The 19,659-nt window shown below is 42.9% G+C and overlaps 1 long non-coding RNA gene across 1 annotated transcript in view, besides 1 other annotated feature; it reads left to right on the forward strand.

Moving 5' to 3' along the window:
• Window positions 1–19,420, forward strand: part of LOC105375835 (uncharacterized) — a 37,314-nt gene extending 17,894 nt beyond the window's left edge. Inside the window, exons 3-7 of the long non-coding RNA XR_001745898.2 lie at window positions 5,685–5,832; window positions 6,936–7,058; window positions 7,593–7,715; window positions 14,066–14,210; window positions 14,486–19,420. This is a non-coding gene — a long non-coding RNA (uncharacterized LOC105375835). The remainder of the gene's footprint in view (window positions 1–5,684; window positions 5,833–6,935; window positions 7,059–7,592; window positions 7,716–14,065; window positions 14,211–14,485) is intronic.
• Window positions 1,343–2,542: an enhancer, noted in NCBI's record as "P300/CBP strongly-dependent group 1 enhancer chr8:53676283-53677482 (GRCh37/hg19 assembly coordinates)". NCBI's record gives its function as "activates an origin of replication core promoter dependent on BRD2, BRD4, P300/CBP, MED14 and CDK7 cofactors, with strong dependence on P300/CBP, by STARR-seq in HCT116 cells {active_cell/tissue: HCT116}" and the evidence as "EXISTENCE:reporter gene assay evidence [ECO:0000049][PMID:35650434]".
• Window positions 19,421–19,659: the final 239 nt, after the last annotated feature.

The raw sequence follows: 19,659 nt of genomic DNA on the forward strand, positions 1-19,659 counted from the left end.
ATCCAACTTTAATGTTCTTTCTTCAGTAAACACCTGATAGTCACAGGCTATAAAATTGGTTAACAGGAAAATAACTTAGAATCATGATTAGCTTCTATAATGTCTCAGTTCTCACGGGAATCTAGGTGAACTGCTAAAAATAAAAGAATTGGGTAAATGTAAATAAGAGAAATGCTTGTAGGCAAGCTTTTTGTGTAATTTAAAATCAAAATTATTTTAGGTACTCATTGAATGTTTGGGTCATTTCCAATTAAAAAGGGTTATAATATGGGGCATTGGTTACACTTTTGAGCTTGTTCATGAAATCTATCACGGGGAAAAGTATTAGCAGACTTCACTGAGCTGAATAAAAGTAAGGACTGAGTCTAGAAAATATTCAAAAAATAAAAACGGGATGGGCCAAATGGGTGCCTGTATACTTGTCCTGGCCCAGGCGGGCAATGAACATGAAACAATACTGCCAGGGAAACACTGAAGTCATCCAAACAATCCAGAAATTACATAAGACACAAGCAGTCAGGCTGGCCCAGTGCTCTTACACCAGCCCCGTGTGGCCTGTGAAAAAGCCAGGTGGCACCTGGTGAATGACGGTAGACTACTGTGAGCTAAAAAAGTGGTGCCCTCTATACAAGCAACTATGCCCAGTGTTGCTCAGCTGCTACAGCAGGTGGTCCTTAGGCTGGGAAATGTCCATGCTGTGATTGAATTGACTAATGCCTTTTTCAGTATTCCTTTAGCAAAAGATTCACAGGACCAGTCTGCCTTCACTTGGGGGGCCAACGATGGGCTTTCCATGTGTTACCATAAGGGTACCTGCACAGGCCCACCATCTGTCATGGTATGATTGCATAGGACTTCTCTAGACTCTCTTTGCCTGCCTTGATCTCCCTTTTTACTATGTCGATGTTATCATCCTAACCTCAGAATCTCTTGCTGCTCTGGAGGCTTCCCTGCAGACTGTCTTTGGCCAGCCTAGAAGACAGGGGATGGAAAGTCAACTCCAAAAAGTTTTAGGGATCTGGCAAGGCCATCAAAGTCCTGAGAGTTACCTGGTTGAGTAAGATGTAAAACACACCCAGAGCTATCATTGATAAGATAGCACAGCAGCCTATTTCCTAGACGATAAAATAACTTCAGGTTTTTCTAGGTTTGCTGGGATACTGAACAATATTCATTTCTCATTTGGCACAAACCCTCCACTCATTACACACCCTATTATAAAAAGCTGAAAAGTGGGACTGGACACACATAGAGCAAGAGGCTTTTGCCAAAGTAAAACTATTGGGAAAGCAAACCCAAGCACTAGGTTCCCCACTGCCACAGCACCCTCTTGTATTAGAAGTCACTGGAGATGCCACAGGGATGAATTGGGGTTTGTGGCAAAAGCAACCAATGGAAATGGTAGCTGTAGGGCTTGGATCTCAATTATGGAAAGGAGCAGAATCTTGCTATACAGTTTTAGAGCAACAGCTATTGGCCATACATAGACCATTGCAACAAGCGGAGGCCATCACCAGAAAGCAGACCATCACAGTAAAAACTGCCACTCATTCAAGAGTGGGTGAAAGGCATTCTAGCTAAGCCTACCTCCAGGGTGACACAGTCGCACCTATCTATAATAAAGGGGTGCCGTGTCAGGCCTGTAAGTCCTTTAAGTCAGGCACTGCAGGAGGTGCTTGGACCCATCCACTTTAAACAAGTAGAGGGGACTGGCATAGCAATGGAACCACCTACCAGGCCAACCACTGTGTCCGAAGGGACCTGCTGAGACCCTCTAGGGCCCGGTACACTGATGGGTCTAGCAAAGGCACCAACACCAATGGTCAACAGTTGTGATGCAAATGGAGACTGACACCATATGGATAAAATGGGCATCAGAACAAAACTTAGACCAGAGGTCCACTTACCATATAACCCAACAGGCACAGGCATCACTACAAAAAAGAATGGCTTGCTGAAAACCCAATTACATGCACTGTCCCAATTCCATGCATTGTTTTTAACCCAAGTACATACTTAAATCCCTGGACTAAGAATCTCCCTGAAGTCACACAAAGGTTAGATGAGTCACCCACTACCACACATGGCATCATATCCTGTGACTGGTTGGCACGGACTGTGAAACAGACCTCATAAACTCTCAGGGTTACCTCTGAGTCACTGAGTCATGCTCCTGAAGCAGGTGGTCAGACCATGCTCCTGAGAGCACCAATGGATCTGCTAAACATAACTGGCTATGTAGATCTGAAGTTGAGCTGGACAGTGCCTCCAAACTGGATCAGTTTTATGGCACTGGAGGGTGCCATGAAGACTGCTGGAGGGGAGGTGGTCACAGCTGTGCTCCTTGATGGATATCTGAGAGCCTTATGATACCAACACGCAGCAGCACCAATATCTGCTGGAGTGCTCACAGGGCAGGCAGTATAGGCAAGGCTGGAAACTTACCAATTGGCTAGTATGCTTGCTCCTAAAAGGGAAGCCATGTGTGGTACGGTAAGCCAGGCCTGAAGCCCATTGTGACCTCTCTAATAAGGCCCATGAAAAAAATATAGTGGTAATAATGTTACAAGAAGTGGATACACCCATAAGGGTCCCTATTAAATACCTGTGTTCACTTCCATAGGCTGTTGCTCCTACTAACCATGACAGTTGGTAATGCCTTCCTGGACTGGGCTGATTATAGCAGCAGCCAGCAACCAGTCTGATTGTAGCATATATGCATACCTCCCTGCTGTCAAATAATAATAATATGCCTTGAAATACTCTGCATTTCTCCCAATGGAACTGGAGTGACTGATTCAACAGAACGAGTAACGCACCTTGGGCTCAGTAGGGACTGCATCCACCTGGAGGCCCAATTGCCAAAGTGATGGAGACCCAACAACATACGCCTTTATGGGCACTACCTGTTGAGCCTATATCCTTGATAAAGAGAATAATGTTACAAATGCTTTTTTTTTTTTTTGAGACAGAGTTGCACTCTGTCACCCTGGCTAGAGTGCAATGGCTCGATCTCAGCTCACTGCAACCTCCGCCTCCTGGGTTCAAGCAATTCTCCTGCCTCAGCCTCTCAAGTAGCTAAGATTACAGGCATGTGCCACCGCACCCGGCTAATTTTTTGTATTTTTAGCAGAGACGGGGTTTCACTATGTTACCCAGGCTGGTCTCAAACTCCTGAGCTCAGGCAATCCACCTGCCTCAGTCTCCCAAAGTGCTGGGATTATAGGCGCGAGCCACCGCGCCCGGCCCACAAATGATTTTAAATCATTTGTCAATTCAGATCCATGATAAAACCTAATTAGATTTCTTTACCTCATTCTCAATTGGTTATACACTTTACCTACTCATTGGAGTTATGTCTTGCTAATAGGCATGATCACTGTAGTTAGCTTTTGCTTTTGATGCTGTTGTGTGTACTGTGGATGTGACTTGTACACACAAGCCAATGCTATAGGGTATAGGCCCATATAATTCTTTCCCTCATACCCCACTCAGAGACTGTGGTCCAAGATTGGCAGAAAAAAAATGTGAGAGTTGAGGGACAGGGTGGATTGTAGTGTGATGGGTCCCCCATCAGGTTACTTAAGGGTGCATGTCTGCTGCCTGAACCTGAAGGCCGGGCAGTGAGTCAAGGTCATGGTGTGCAGCTGAGGAGCAGGTGTCTCTGAGAACCCAAATATCCCAGGGCATAGCTGCGAACATACCAGGGAAAACAGTCTCATCACACACACGGAAGGCAAAGAGCCAGAAAATTAGCTGAAAAGCAGCTTAGAACTGGGTGGTGGTGCAGATCTCTAGAGCTCTCCTGCCACTGCCCAGGAGTGTCCTGTATGTCAGTACTAATAAACTCATCTACTTATCAAGCTGGACTTGTGAGAGTCATTCTCTGATTATCTTGACTCCTTCCCAGTTTAGGGAAGGGACATTACAATCCCAGGTTTTTCTTATAACATTGCCTCCTGGTGACCACCTCACTATGAGACAGCTGGATCCAGCCTACTTGACTGGCACCACTGACCCCCTGGACTATGCAGTTATGCCATAGTGACCAAGTCACAGCCACAGCATGACTCCCTGGAACTGCGTCTGCTTACTTTAAACTCACCAAGTAGAACTCCCTGGGGGAAATCTGCCTGGGTAATGCCCTGGATCCCAGTAAAGGCTTCAGCCCACAGGTCCCTCACACGCACTCTCTCTTTGTCTCTCTTTCTCTTGTTCTCCACCCACAATCTGAGTGTACAAGTCCCAGACAGCTTTCTTCTTCCTGTTGGCCCTGTGAGGTGTGCTGCCTTCTTCTCTGGGAGAAGTAATAAAAACTACTTCTGTTACCTGTGTGTTCTTGCAAAAGATAATAAAATAATAAGAGTGTGAAAAACCCTACCTCTGTTATTTCACGTGTTTTCTTATGCTGTCTCCTCTGTCTCCCCTGATCGGCACACTTGACCCAACTCTCCTCCTGGTCAGGGCTCTCCTGGAGAGTGGCTATCTTGGTAGGAATAAACTGGACAGAGGTCATCTAAGAGCCAACAGGGCGTCTACTGGAATAAACATGTTTCCTGTGAGGGGGACCCTGGTCACAGTTTGGACACATAGGCAGGGGGCATCCTTCTGGATGAGGCAGCATCCTGAGAAAGGCACATTGTCCACAACCAGGCCTGCTTCCCCTGGTCCCATCGGGGCAGGGCGAGGGTTGCCACTCTCTTCGGAGAAATCTCAAGACAAAACTGGAGGTAAATACTAGGGCCTTGGATAAAATTAGTTTAGCCAATTTTAAAGATATTGGCATTTTCTTTTTCTTTTCTTTTTTAAAGATGGGGTCTCGGCCAGGCACGGTGGCTCACACCTGTAATCCCAGCACTCTGGGAGGTCGACACAGGTGGCTCACCTGAGATCAGGAGTTCAAGACCAGCTTGGCCAACATGGTGAAACCCAATCTCTACTAAAAATACAAAAATTAGCCAGGCATGGTGGCGCATGCCTATGATCCCAGCTACTCAGGAGGCTGAGGCAGGAGAATTGCTTGAACCCAGGAGGTGGAGGTTTCGGTGAGCCAAGATCGTGCCATTGCACTCCAGCCTGGGCGACAAGAGTAAAACTCTGTCTCAAAAAAAAAAAAAGACGAAAAAAAAAAGACAGGGGTCTCGCCATGTTGCCCAGGGTTGTCTAGAACTTCTCAGCTCAAATGATCCACCCACCTTGGCTTCCCAAAGTGCTGGGATTAGAAGTGCGAGCCCCCGTGCCTGGCCGATATTGGCATTTTCTTATTGTGAGGTGAGCAGAGAAAAATCTGTGTTGCCACCATTTATTGTTACATTTTTTTTTTGTACAAAGAAGTATTTAAAGTTGCTAGAAAAGTAATAAAAAATAATAAAAATTGTCTACATGGTATAAATCCCCTTGGGCATTAAATTCTTGTAGATATTACTGGTATGCTGAGTACCCTCAATGTGTGAAGTAAAAACATAAAAAGTGTTTTATCCAAACCTGTCTCTCAAATAAGAGAAATTAGATCACATTTCCCACTGGGGAGAAGCATCCTGAATGCCACCCTGGCTGTACTCCATACCTTAGCCTCCAGGGTCAGATATCAGAACACGCATTCCAGTATGTAAAGTTCACACCCTGTTTTTTGGTTTTGATTTTTTATTTTTAAACTTCAAAGCAATTTTTCTTTCCTCCTCCAGGGCAGACCAGAACAGTGGGTGATTTTCCTCCTGCCATTTTCTTGGGACAGTGAAAAGTGGAGAAGAGAATGTTTAAATTGTTGCCTGCTGGGGACACATCGCACTCCTCAATTTGGGTGGTGCCAACCGCTGTTGGAATTAGTTATCTGTGAGTACAGTAAGGTTGTATGTTGTTCCGATGTCCCATGGTAAGGAATTATTCTCTGTAATTCTCTTGGGCTTTGCAGCCCTTGAACAGCTTTGTTCTTCTCTTCTGGGGTCATCATGCCGAGTTCTCTGGTGTATAAGGTGGTCCAGGGAAGTCTGTAGCTGCAGTGTCTACTTTTTAGAGGCCAAAACCTTAAGCCATCAGACACTGGGGGATCTTCCATGTCTCCTAAGGGGGCTGGCTGGCATTTCTTTACCACATTGTCTCTCTTTACGTTTCTTTTCCACTGCTACAGTACCCAGGAAAACTTCTCCAAGTCTATGGTAAGCAGACATCCACCCAGAGTCAAAATGCTGGTCTCCTCTTCTAGCGTAGGCCTCCAGTCTTCACAAGGGACTCCCTGAGGTCCTCCTCCCTGGCCAAAGGGAGGGAAGGTCCCCTTCAGGGAAGAGTAAGAACAGCTTCTTCAGCCACCTCTGCTCCCTGGGTCTGGTCTCTTTTTCTGTTGCTGAGGATAGCAGGAGGGGATTCTGGGAGAGGGTAGTTGGTGATGGGACCCATTCTCTTACCATTTCAGTGAGAAAAGTGAGACAGGGCTGGCCTAGGCAACGATCTGAACTTAGAATGTGAGACCTTAACAGCAATTCCAGAGCGATGGCAACACACATTCTTATTAAACGAGTTAGCTTTATAGTGATGGCTTGTTTCATATCTGGGTTGCTAGAGCCTCCAGGTAACACAATAGAAGGAATGTGCTTAGACGGCCCAGAGCATCAGTCCACACTTTCAGTTAGAAAGCAATGAATGTATGTGAACCAGGTTGTTACATCAACTCCTGTCTAGGGCAAGGTGGTGCGTAAATGAGCCCTTGTATATCAACATTTTATTTTCATTCTGTACTCTTACATTGATGGAAAAGTGAAAAGTTATTATGATTAATAGTAGCTGGATTCTTCCCTGTCAGTGCTAAGTGATGATATAGAAACCAAGGTGCAAATAAACGCAAATACTCCTACAGATAAGTATGATCATGTTCCTGACCTTTTAACGTTGTTTATGCCGTATGCACATTCTAAAATTATCATTTCCTCTTTTATTTGCAGAGCTGAAATTTTGTCTTTCAAAGGACTAGTGCATCACTCTGCTGCAAAGCTTGGAAAAGCTCTGATAGCCTCAAGTCTCTGCTCTGCTTTTGTGGTGGAGCCTTGGACAGACGTGGAATTAAGGTTGTTGGAATCAGAATTGCTATTCCTCCACTGCATAGGGACAGGTTACAAAGTTTTAGTTGTCAAAAATAATTTGTCCAATGAGAAAGTACTTTCCTCTATCCTAACCTCTTAATTCATTGTCTATCTCTGCCAGATATGTGTGTGAGTTAACCCAGATGGAAAATGAAACTTTGTGAATAAGTGATTCATTTTTAAAAACCACTTTTCTTAACATATGTAAAACCAAATTGTTTGAAAGTAACTTTTGCTTATTGGAAAGTCTAGTATCTTAAAATCTCAGGCTTCTTAAAAAAATGAACCTTTCATTTTAAAGTAGATTTACAGAAAATCTCCAGAAAAGAAAAGTGAAGACAGTACAGAAAGCTCTCATATACTCCACATCCAGTTTCCCCTGTTATTAACATCTTACATGAGTATGGTGCATTTGTTACACTTAATTAACCAATATTGAGACATTCTTCCTAGCTGAAGTGCATGTGTTCATCATTCAGATTTCTCTAGTTTTTGGCTAATGATGCTTTTCTCTTCCAGGATCCCGTCCAGGATCCCACATTCCATGTAGTCACTGCCTCCTTAGGCTCCTCCTGGCTGTGACAGTTTCTCAGATTTCCCTTGTTTCTAATGATTGTGGCAGTTTTGAAGAGCACCGGTCAGGTATTTTGTAGAATGTCCCTTGTTTGGGATTTTGCAAATGTTTTCTTTTGGTTAGACTGGGGTTATGTGTTTTGGGGAGGAAGATCACAGAGGGGAAGTGACACTTTTATCAAATCATACCAAGGGTGCATATCAACATGACTTGTTAGTGTCAATGCTGACCTTGATCCATTGGCTGATGTAGTATGGGTCAGGCTTTTCCACAGTAAAGTTGCTGTCTTTATTCCCCTTTTCATTGTTGTATTCTTTGGAAGTCACTATGTACAGCCAACCTTTAAAGGGTGGGGAGTTGGCTGGGCAAGGTGGCTCATGCCTGTAGTCTTAGCATTTTGGGAGGCCAAAGCAGATGGATCGCTTGAGCCCATGGAGGTTGAGGTTGCAGTGAGCCAAGATTGTGCCATTGTACTCCAGCCTGGGTAACAGAGTGAGACCCTGTCTCAACAAAAATTAAAAAATAAAAATAAAGAGTGGAGAGCTCTAGTTCACCTTACTGAGGGCAGAGTATCTACATAAATTATACAGACTCTTCTGCACAGGAGGTTTTCTAGTCTTCTCCACTTTTAAATTCATTCAGTCATTTATTTATATGATTCATGCATATTTCTTTTTTATTTTGGGTTACCATCCAATGCCACCTTGTTTGGGTTTTTTAAATTGTTCCAGCTTTGGCCATTGATGAGCACAGTTGGATCTTGTGTCATTTTGACAAACTCCCACTGCTTTTTGTGTGTGTGTGTGTGTGTGTGTGTGTGTGTGTGAGAAGCACTTTCTGGCATTACAAGGTAATCCTGCCTTTTTTTTTTTTGGATAATCCTTTTTTATCTTTTTTAAAAAAAGTTCTGTCCTATTGATATAATTTGGATGTTTGTTGCCTCCAAATCTCATGCTGAAATGTGATTGCCAATGTTGAAATGGGGCGTGGTGGGAGGTGACTGGAACATGGGGGTGGATCCCTCATGAATGGCTTAGTGCCACCTTCTTGGTGATGAGTGAGCTTACATTAGATCTGGTTGTTTAAAAGAGCCTGGCACCTCCCTGCATTACTCTTACCATGTGACATGCTGGCTCCCTGTCAACTTCTGCCATGATTGTAAGCCTCACTGGAAGCAGCTATCAGCACCATGCTTCCTATAAAGCTGAAGAACAGTGAGCCAATTCAACCTCTTTGTATACTATGCAGCCTCAGGTATGTCTTTATAGCAATGCAAGAATGACCTAATACACCTGTCTTGAGTATTTCCTGCCTCAGCCCTAGAATCAGCCATTTCTCCAACAAGCTCTGGTTCCTTTTATTGGTGAACAGTGTGAGTCCAAAAGTATCTGAGACACGTCTCAATCAATTTAGAAAGTTTATTTTGCCAAAGTTAAGGATGCACCAGTGACACAGCCTCAGGAGGTCCTGATAACATATGCCCCAAGTGGTCAGGGTACAGCTTGCTTTTATACATTTTAGGGAGACAGGAATTTCAAGAAGCCAAAGAGGAGTCTTGCTGTGTTGCCCAGGCTGGTCCTGAACTCCTGGCCTCAACCCATTCTCCTACCTCAGCTCCTGAGTAGCTGGGATCACAGTAGGAACTGCCTATCAAGCCCCGCTGAATACTGAGTCTTTCCATCCCTTTCTGTCTGTGTTCCACACAAATGTTCTACTTAACTCTTCAGCAGACCTGACGGATGCTAACTTATTACCTCTCTAGGCTTAACTCATTTTATGAGTCTCACCCATTTCAGCTTTTGTCTTTTCCATAGCATAAACGAATATTTTCCAAAATACAGCATTACGTAGGTATGTTAAACATTACACACACATTACATAGGCAAAGAAACTGTAGTTAGAAGTCACAAGTGCAACAAAGTTTCTCCTTTTAGGGAATGGGAGCTCAAGTGATATTAAATAGATAGATTGGTTGGGAAGTGGAAAATATTGAAAATGTCAGATGTGCTTCCAAATGAGGGTATGGTATTTGATCCAAAGGCTACATACTGGTTAATTTACTCTGAAGAGCTGAAGTTTATTCAGAATACTCTGTTTTTCTTTCCAAAAAAAAAGTGCAAAAGACTTCACAAGGCTGGAGGAGAAGGAGCTAAGAGGTGGCCTGTTGCGAAAGGGTCTGCAATATTTTACCCCTCCTTTTTTTTGAAGAGAAGCAATCTCACAAAGGTGCAACTATCTTCATCCTAAAGATATTCCTGTCAAGTGTTACAACCTCATTTAGCAACTTCTTGACACTTGTGAGGTAAAAGATTCCAAATCTCTGTATGGTCAAAGTTATGTGGAGCCCTATGAAGACTGGTGAGTTCTGCCCTTGCTTGGTAGAAGTGGGGCAGTCAGAGCTGCTTTTTGGGAGGACATCATCTTAGCACTAGGTCCTGAAAGAGTCAGTAGAATTTCGACAAACTGAGAAGACAGAGAACGGTGTGCTAAAAAAGCCAGCAGCCCAAGCATAGCAAGGAAAGTGCACAGCGTGTTCGGAGAAAATGATTCGTCTGCTGCATGAAACGGAATGGAAGGAATGGAGTCCAGTACTCTGTGCAGTTAGAAGCCCAGCCTGCAAGATGGGCTCAGACAGAAGCAGAGGGTCATAGGTAGCTTTCCAGGAGTTACCATCAGACTTTATAACAGCACTAAGCGGGTGCTGTTATACAGCTTTGTGGAGCACATGAATATTATCCTCTAAGGTGTGTTGCTAGCACCTTTGGGGAAGAGAAACTATAGCTGGATATGGGTAGTGAAAGTTATGAACCCAGAACAAAAGGTGTTCAGATTTGCTGATTGGCAGGGAAGTTCTGGGAGCTTCACATATTCTACAGTCTTGTATTTCTTCACAATAATCCCATATCTTTTTTTTTTTTTTTTTTTGAGACTGAGTCTCGCTCTGTCTCCCAGGCTGGAGTGTGGTGGCAAGATCTCAGCCCGCTGCAAACTCCGCCTCCCGGTTTCAAGCAGTTCTCTACCACAGCCTCCCTTGTAGCTGGGATTACAGGCACACCCAGATAATTTTTGTATTTTTAGTAGAGATGGGGTTTCACCATTTTGGCCAGGCTGGTCTTGAACTCCTGACCTCGTGATCCACCCGCTTCAGCCTCCCAAAGTACTGGGATTAGAGGCGTGAGCCACCGCACCTGGCCTCCCATATCTCATGTATACAACATTTTTCTTTCCATTTTACAGGTGATGAAACTGAGACCCAGAGAGGAAAGCTCATTGGCCCAAGGTCACATAGCAAATAGGTGGCGGAGGCTGGATTCTATGTGCACACCCTTGACTGGATGCTTTCAACCTCATTTTTTTTTCTTTTTTCAAAGTGAGCTTCAAACTTTCACATTTTGAAAACTGATGGTGCCCTAAATTACAATATAGTGCCTGTAGCTTACTAGCTACCACATAAATGAATGTTGAATAAGTCAATGACTGAATAAATAGATGGCTGAATGGAAGAGGCTCCCATTGAAAAAGAACATCCTTTTGGCTCTGAAAGTCTGGAAACACACAGAAGAAAAAAAGGAGAGAGAGAGAAGCTCTGTGTTTTCATATTCCTGGAAGGCTACAGAAAAAGAAGTGAATACAAATTTGTAAAAATCTGTATAAAATCTAGCCAAGTGCTGTAATCTCAGCTACTTGGGGGCTGAGGTGGGAGGATCGTTTGAGCCCAGGAGTTTGAGGCTGCAATGAGCTGCTATTATACCACTGCACTCCAGCCTGGGTGACAAAATGAGACTTCATCTCTTAAAAAAAAAAAAAGTATAAAATCCAGTGAAAGATTACCAAGGCCGGGCGTGGTGGCTCACACCTGTAATCCCAGCACTTTGGGAGGCTGAGATGGGTGGATCACCTGAGGTTGGGAGTTCGAGACCAGCCTGACCAACATGAAGAAACCCCGTCTCTACTAAAAATACAAAATTAGCTGGACGTGGTGGCACATGCCTGTAATCCCAGCTACTAGGGATGCTGAGGCGGGAGAATCGCTTGAACCCGGGAGGCGGAGGTTGTGGTGAGCCGAGATGGTGCCATTGCACTCTAGCCTGGGCAACAAGAGTGAAACTCTGTCTCAAAATAAAGAAAAAAAAAAAAGAAAAGAAAGATTACCAACATAAACTTGCCAATGTTAATTTTAATTTTAATTTTAATTTTTTTTTGAGACAGAGTCTCACTCTGTTGCCCAGGCTGGAGTACAGTGTTGTGATCATAGCTTACTGCTGCCTCAAACTCCTGGGCTCAAGCAATCCTCCCACCTCATCCTTTCAAGTACCTGGAACTATAGGGATGAGCCACCAGGCCTGGCTAATTTTTATTTTTTTACAGAGACAGGGGCTTACTGTGTTGCCCAGGCTTGTCTAGAACTCCTGGACTTAAGTGATCCTCCCACCTTCGGCCTCCCAAACCCTAAAATTATAGGTGTGAGCCATTGTGACTGGCCATATTATTTTTCTTTTCCTTTTTTTTGTTTTAGTTACAAAAGGGATGTAAATGTGTGTGATCAGAGCCCAGAGCAACCTTCAAAAGCCTTTGACCATTACTTTTGATTTTTGGTTTCCAGTGTAGGACTTTCCCTAGAAATCTGTTTCTAGTAACCTACACAGTTTGAAGTTGTGAATTTCTTTTTCTGTCCTGCAGAGTCTTGCGCCTTTGGGTACATGATGATGAGGAAGAGCTAGCTGCAAGACCATTCCTCAGCAGTAGTATTCAGTTCCTATTCATAACAGAATGACATTGAAAGTACAGTGACTGCATTTGTTTATTTTTTAAAATTTCCCAGCTCCTACAACTGACAGTTGCTATATTAATTGCACAAAAGTTTGCACAAAGACTGAGAAGATGACTGAATTGAAATTAATCCCACACTGTCAATTCAGTAGTCATGTGAACTCACATCTCAGAAACAGTGGGAAGATAGTAGAAAGAATGTCTTTATAGTCATTGCCTTTCTCATAGCCCTTTTCAATATTTGGCAAATTTTTTAATATTAATTACTATTTTTTTCTTGTTTCAGTAAACCTACACACATATTAAATTTAACATGAAATTACATTAATCATGTGTTCTAAAATTTTCTGCATCTTAGGATGGTTGGCCATCTTAAACATCTTGCTGGCCTCCAGAGAGACTGCCCCTCCCAGGGCTGGCCAATTCTGGAGACAACAAAGAACTTAGCCAGGAGCATGTGTTTTATGTGCAAACTACCCAATCCCAAGTCTACTCCCAGCCACAACCCTTTATTTAACTCTTACACACCACTCCAATATCCCCCCTGCCCTAAATCCTCCCAGGGCCACCTACCAGATGACTAGAGATGACCCCTGTAGACCAGAGCTATTGGGAGAGGGAAAGAGACAGAGAGGGAGAGAGATAGAGTGTGTGTAGTACTATGAAGCTGAGCTTACCCATATTTTAAAATTTGTGAGAATTTAGCTATATTTTCAAAGAAAGAAAATGTGCAAAACAATGTAAATAAATTTAACCTGTAAAATTAGTATTTTTGAATAACCCAGTAAAGAAAAGGAAAGATTATTAAAACATATTTGCACAGACCTTTAATGCTTTCCAAGCCACTGTTTAAAAGTCAAAAGAGGCCAGGCATGGTGGCTCATGCCTATAATCCCAGGTGGGTGGATCACTTGGCATCAGGAGTTCGAGACCAGCCGGGCCAATATGGTGAAACTGCATCTCTACTGAAAATACAAAAATTAGCCGGGCGTGGTGGCACACACCTGTGATCCTAGCTACTCGGGAGGCTGAGGCAGGAGAACTGCTTGAACCCGGGAGGCAGAGGTTGCAGTGAGCTAAGATTGGGCCACTGCACTCCAGCCTGGGTGACAGAGCAAGACTCCATTTCAAAAAAAAAAAAAAAGTCAAAAGAAACTAAATGTTATTAGTAAAGGTCAAACCTGGAATAGAAAGTATAGAGAAAGAAAAGTTGGTGTGTGTGTATGTGTGTGTATGTGTATGTGTTATTTTATAAAGGCTTATCTTCAAAGAAACTCAAATGAATAACTATGTAACTCTCTCTGTATGTAACTGTAACTTTCACTTGCAAAAGTGTATCAGTTTGAACAGTTAAATCACACATTCACCTATCTAAGCATCACATGATAAGTAATGTTTAGATAGGTGAATGCATAATTTTAGTACAGGGAATTTTTAGAATCTTTTTAGCACATAATTAGATAAGCATGTATGGAAAGTATGTTGTTACAAAGAGTTTACTCTGAAGGACCCATAGTAAGTCCTCTAAACCAGTGCTTAATCTAATTAGTTCTTGTAGCTAATGACAAATTACATAGTTTTATAAATTACCAGTGGTCACTAAAAATTATTACTATCACCAAGTCTGTTTTCTTGATTTTTCTTATAGGTTGATTTTAGTGCATTTGAGCTACAATCATATTTTATTATCTGGAAAATGCCTCGAAGACATCTGTGGATCTACAAACTTCCAGGGCTACTCTCTGCATACAAAGGAGGCATGAACAGGCCTTTCTACTCAGAAGTGGACTAAGGTGAATCCATCAGCTGACATCCGTCATAGTTCTTTGTGTACCAAACACCTCATGTATGTTGAAATTAGCTGATTTCATGATTCAAAATAGACCCCATCTTCAGCCTCAAGGTTGTCCAGTGCATCCCCAGTTCAACCTCAGAAGAACCTTTTCAGAAGCCACCAGCTCATGACACATTCCTTCTGGGGGTCTCTGGTGGGCACAGAATAAGCCCCCCTTCCCCTCAGGGTCTGCCTGTCTGCCCCTTAACCTGTTCTCCTGCTCCTCCATTCCAGGTTCCCTCCACCTAAGGCAAACTGCCCGGGGCAACTGCCCAGCATGGAAAGCTTTGGTCTTCACGGTCTTGACTTTTTACCAGCATCTCTGAAGCCCCAAAGTCACATAAGAATTTATTTGACTGAAAATTATTTAAGAACTTTATGTGTTAATTTTCCTTATAAAGTGAAAGTTGATCACTTTCTTTTCCCATATGTCCTTTGCCCAGACACAACTTATTGTTACTCTGTTTTCAATATCGAAGCAAGAAATGGAATTCATTGTGAGCCTGCCCCAGTGCTATTCAGACTCATTCTATCCAGGGAGCAACTTCACTCCATAATTTGTGTAGATACAGTTACTTACCTACCCACTCTCTAGTACATAACTCCCCATACACACCCACGGACTTCTTCCCCTAGGGAACTAGTCAGTGGTGTGTCTCCCTTTACCAGGCAAGTGCATGAAATCAGTGCATGATGTGCTGGTCAATGTGGTGATCTTTTCCCCTCTTTTAACCTGGGGAAGAGAGTTTATGGCAGAAACCACAGCTTTAATCCACACATCTTTGTGTACCAACCTCAGTGTTCTACAAGGCAGAGAAGAGAATGGGTCCAGCGATTCCTCCTGAGCAGTTGTCACGGAAATCTCTTGCTCTCCTTTGGGAAGATGAGTTTTACTCTCAATGATGCATTGATACTCACCATTATTACAAGGACTAGTGAACAAGAACTTGTTATGTGCCAGCACTGTGCTATGCTTCACTCAAGCCAGTTAATTCCTGCACTCTCCTGCATTACTGAATGATTTTTCTTTTCTTCTGAATGGTAGTTTTTAAATGTAGGACTACTGTTTCTTCATCATTTGAGTTTGGGAATTAGGCCTCAAATGAGGCAGCTTATGAAATCTGCTTTGGAGGTCAGGGGTCTTCTCCATAGTGGAAAACATCTACCTGACCCTTTTTAGGCCCCAAACTCCTCTCCAGGGTGTAGTGAATGCATGGCACTGGCATCCCTCCTGTAAATGGAGGGGCTTAGATCTCTGGAGGAAACTTCTGGGCTAGTATGTGGCTACCACGAGAATGGCTACAAGTGGGAATAAAAGGGCTTTGATCACCTTAGTCTTGAGTTCCAGGCAGTTTTTCTGGGCCATGTCACTGATCAAGCATGGTGACATCAAAGTAAGGTATTTTCCTTTTTTTTTTTTTGAAATAGTGTCTCACTCTGTCGCCCAGGCTGGAGTGCAGTGGTGCAATCATGGATCACTGCAGCGTCCGCCTCCTGGGCTCAAGAGATCCTCCCACCTCAGCCTCCAGAGGAGCTGGGACTGCAGGTGCACACCATTACACCTGGCTAATTTTTGTATTTTTTACAGAGATGGGGTTTCACCATGTTACCCAGGCTGGTCTCAAACTCCTGGCCTCAAGTGATCCACTCGCCTTGGCCTCTGAAAGTGCTAGGATTACAGGGGTGAGCCACTAAGCCCAGCCTGGTATCTTCTTTTGTACTTTTCAGAAGAACTCAAAATGGATGAGTTTGCATAAAACTGCATCTGCTGCTCTAGTGCCAGTGAATAGGCCATGAAGCTTCTGGCTCAGATGGGACTTTAGATCTATGACCTGCTGGGTATTCAGAAAGCAGCCACAGATAGCATAGGAGTTCAAGACAACAATGGTGCGTGAACCACCATGGGTCAAGAGGAGCCGTTGATCTGATCTGATCTCCGCTGTCCCCCCATGGCTTTCGTGCAGACATAGCTGGCAGCCTGATGGCGGTGCTGTGGAAGCAGGCCCTTCACTGGGGTACTGGCAGACTGGTTGAAGAGTCTACCTACAGGGGAGTGTCGAGTCCGGCTCTCCCTATGGGCAACAGGCAAGCCACACAGAGGACCAACTCTTGAACAAACGTTGGTAACATTTGTGGTACTGAGGGTTGAAAGCTAGGGGGATTCTTAAAACTATTAGGAGATTCTCTCTTGCTAGTGAAACAGATGGGAAGCAGAGGAACTACTGCACTTTGGACATTGACTTCAGTTTTAATCACAGACTGTTAAGGCTAGGACATATTTTTCTTTAACTTTTAGACTCGGGGTGCATGCGCAGGTTTGTTATATAGGAAAACTTGTGTCACGGGGTTTTGTTGTACAGATTATTTCATCACCCAGGTACTAAGCCTAGTGCTCAATAGTTATTTTTTCTGCTCCTCTCCCTCTTCCCACCCTCCCACCTCAAGAAGGCCCCAGTGTCTGTTGTTTGCCTCTTTGTGTCCATGTGTTCTCATTATTTAGCTCAGACTTATAAGTGAGAACATGGGGTATTAATTTTCTGTTCCTGTGTTAGTTTGCTGAGGATAATGGCCTCCAGCTCCATCCGTCTTCTGGCAAAAGACAAGATCTTGTTCTTTTTTATGGCTGCATAGTACTCCATGGTGTATATGCACCCTATTTTCTTTATTCAATGTTTCATTGATGGGCATTTAGGTTGATTCCATGTCTTTCCTATTGTGAAGAGTACTGCCATGAACATTCATGTGCATGTGTCTTTATGGTAGAATGATTTATATTCCTCTAGGTATATGCCCAGTAATGGGATTGCTGGGTTGAATGGCACTTCTCTTTTAGCTTTTTGAGGAATTGCCACACTGCTTTCCACAATGCAATGGTTGAACTAATTTACACTCCCACCAACAGTGTATAAATGTTCCCTTTTCTCTGCAACCTTGCCAGCATCTGTTGTTTTTTGACTTTTTTATAGTAGTCATTCTGACTCATGTGAAATGGTATCTCATTGCGGTTTTGATATGCATTTCTCTAATGATCAGTGATGTTGAGCTTTCTTTCATATGTTTGTTGGCTGCATGAATGTCTTCTTTTGAGAAGTGTTTTGTTCATGTCCTTTACCCACTTTTTAATGGGGTTGTTTTTTTCTTGTAAATTTAAGTTCCTTGTCGACTCTGGATGTTAGACCTTTGTCAGATGGATAGCTTGCAAAATTTTTCTCCCATTCTGTAGATTGTCTGTTCACTCTGATGATAGTTTGTTTTGCTGCGCAGAAGCTCTTTAGTTTAATTAGATTCTATTTGTCAATTTTTGCTTTTGTTGCAATTGCTTTTGGTGTTTTCGTCATGAAATCTTTGCCTGTGCTTACGTCCTGAATAGTATTGCCTAGATTTTAAGAAATATTTAACTCAAAGCAACAATATTAACAGTTCATTTCTCATCTGAAACAATAGAAGAAAAAAGACAATAGATCAACCTATGTTTTTGAGATGGAGTCTTGCTCTGTCGCCCAGGATGGAGTTGCAATGACACGATCTCAGCTCACTGCAACCTCTGCCTCCTGGGTTCAAGCGATTCTCCTGCCTCAGCCTCCCGAGTAGTTGGGATTACAGGTGCATATCACCATGCCCAGCTAATTTTTGTATTTTTGTAGAGATGGGGTTTCACCATGTTGGCCAGGTTAGTCTCGAACTCCTGGCCTCAAGTGATCCACCCACCTGGGCCTCCCAAAGTGCTGGGATTAGAGGTGTGAGCCACCTCTAATCCCAGCCACAGACTGAACTCTGAGCTTTTTTTCTTTTTTCTTTTTTTTTTTTTTTGAGAGGGAGTCTTGCTCTGATGCCCAGGATGGAGTGCGGTGGTGCCATCTTAGCTCACTGCAAACTCCACCTCCCAGGTTCAAGCAATTCTCCTGTCTCAGCCTCCTGAATAGCTGGGATTACAAGAGTCTGCCACCATGCCCAGCTAATTTTTGTATTTTTAGTAGAGATGGGGTTTCACTATGTTGGTCAGGCTGGTCTTGAACTCCTGACCTTAAGCAATCCACTGGCCTCGGCCTCCCAAAGTGCTGGGATTACAGGCATGTGCCAGCACACCCGGCCAGCTTTTTTCATATGCTTGTTGGCCATGTGTATGTCTTCTTTAGAAAAGTGTCTGTTCATGTTCTTTACACACTTTTTAATGTGGTCGTTTTTTTCTTTTTAAAGACCCTGGATATTAGGCCTTTGTCAGATGCATAGTTGCAAATATTTTCTCCTATTCTTTATGTTGTCTGTTTATTCTGTTGATAATTCTTTTGCCGTACAGAGCCTCTTAAGTTTAATTAGATCCCATTGGACATTTTGGTTAGCAAGAAAGGACAATGCCTAGAGCAATAATCACAATGTAGGACGTCTTTAAGGAACAAAGGTAAAAGTTTCTGGAGATTGAATGACCAATTCCACTAAACTGTCGCAGCTTGAAAATTACCAGAATGCTCTGTCCATCAAGTTTAGAGAAATGCTTCAAGTTTAGGGGAATGATTTCTATTGTCTATGAATACAGCTGAAAAAAAACAAACCCCGTCAAAATATCTCTCTCTTTTGGGATGGCAGTGTTCACAAGCCCCTGTTGCCCAGCTACACAAAATAGCCAGACATCATGCACCTGGTCCCACAATGTTGAGATATGTAGTGATTTATGATCATAATAAATTAGTGTTTCCCAAAACTTACTCTGTGGAACCTTGAGTCAAATAACTTTGGGAACTTTGCCAACTGTATCTTCTTAATTATTGTGAAAGTTGTCAGAATCAAAATGGAGTCATGAATGTTAAGAAAACCCTGACAAATGGAGCCAACAAAAACCATAAAGAAGGGGTTCTGACACTTGTGTGCTCGATAATGAAAAAGACTATACAAAAACCACAACCTGGCACACAACCCATTGCAACTGTACAAAAAATATATACAAGAATATCTGCCCAGCAACTGCCTGTCCAAACTTGTACTGGTGTCACCCTTGTCATTGATCTTTGTAACCAAAGATAAGTATTTCAAAAACAATTATGTAGTCCTCATTTTTTTCTTTAGAAATCTTTGCCTTCTTTTACCTCCCTGACACATATATTAATAGTTTGCTATGGCATGTATATGCCCATTGCAATGTTCTATTCCCTAATAAACATCTTCTTCTAGAGAGCCTCTCTCTGTTATTTAGGTTGAAAATATTCTTAAGACATGTGAGCCTATTTCATAGCTCTGAGAAGTTAGATGATAATGTGCCTTTACGTCTTGTTTAGTCAATAATTTGCCCAAATTATTTGGTCTTGAAATGTTACTTTAGCAAGATACCTATTAACAGTTTGTATAAATCTGTCTGATATAGTGTAGTAGTTATTCTTTTTTTAATTCATCACATCTCTTAATGCTGATATGAG

This window comes from Homo sapiens, chromosome 8, assembly GCF_000001405.40.
Source record: "Homo sapiens chromosome 8, GRCh38.p14 Primary Assembly".
Lineage (NCBI taxonomy): Eukaryota > Metazoa > Chordata > Mammalia > Primates > Hominidae > Homo > Homo sapiens.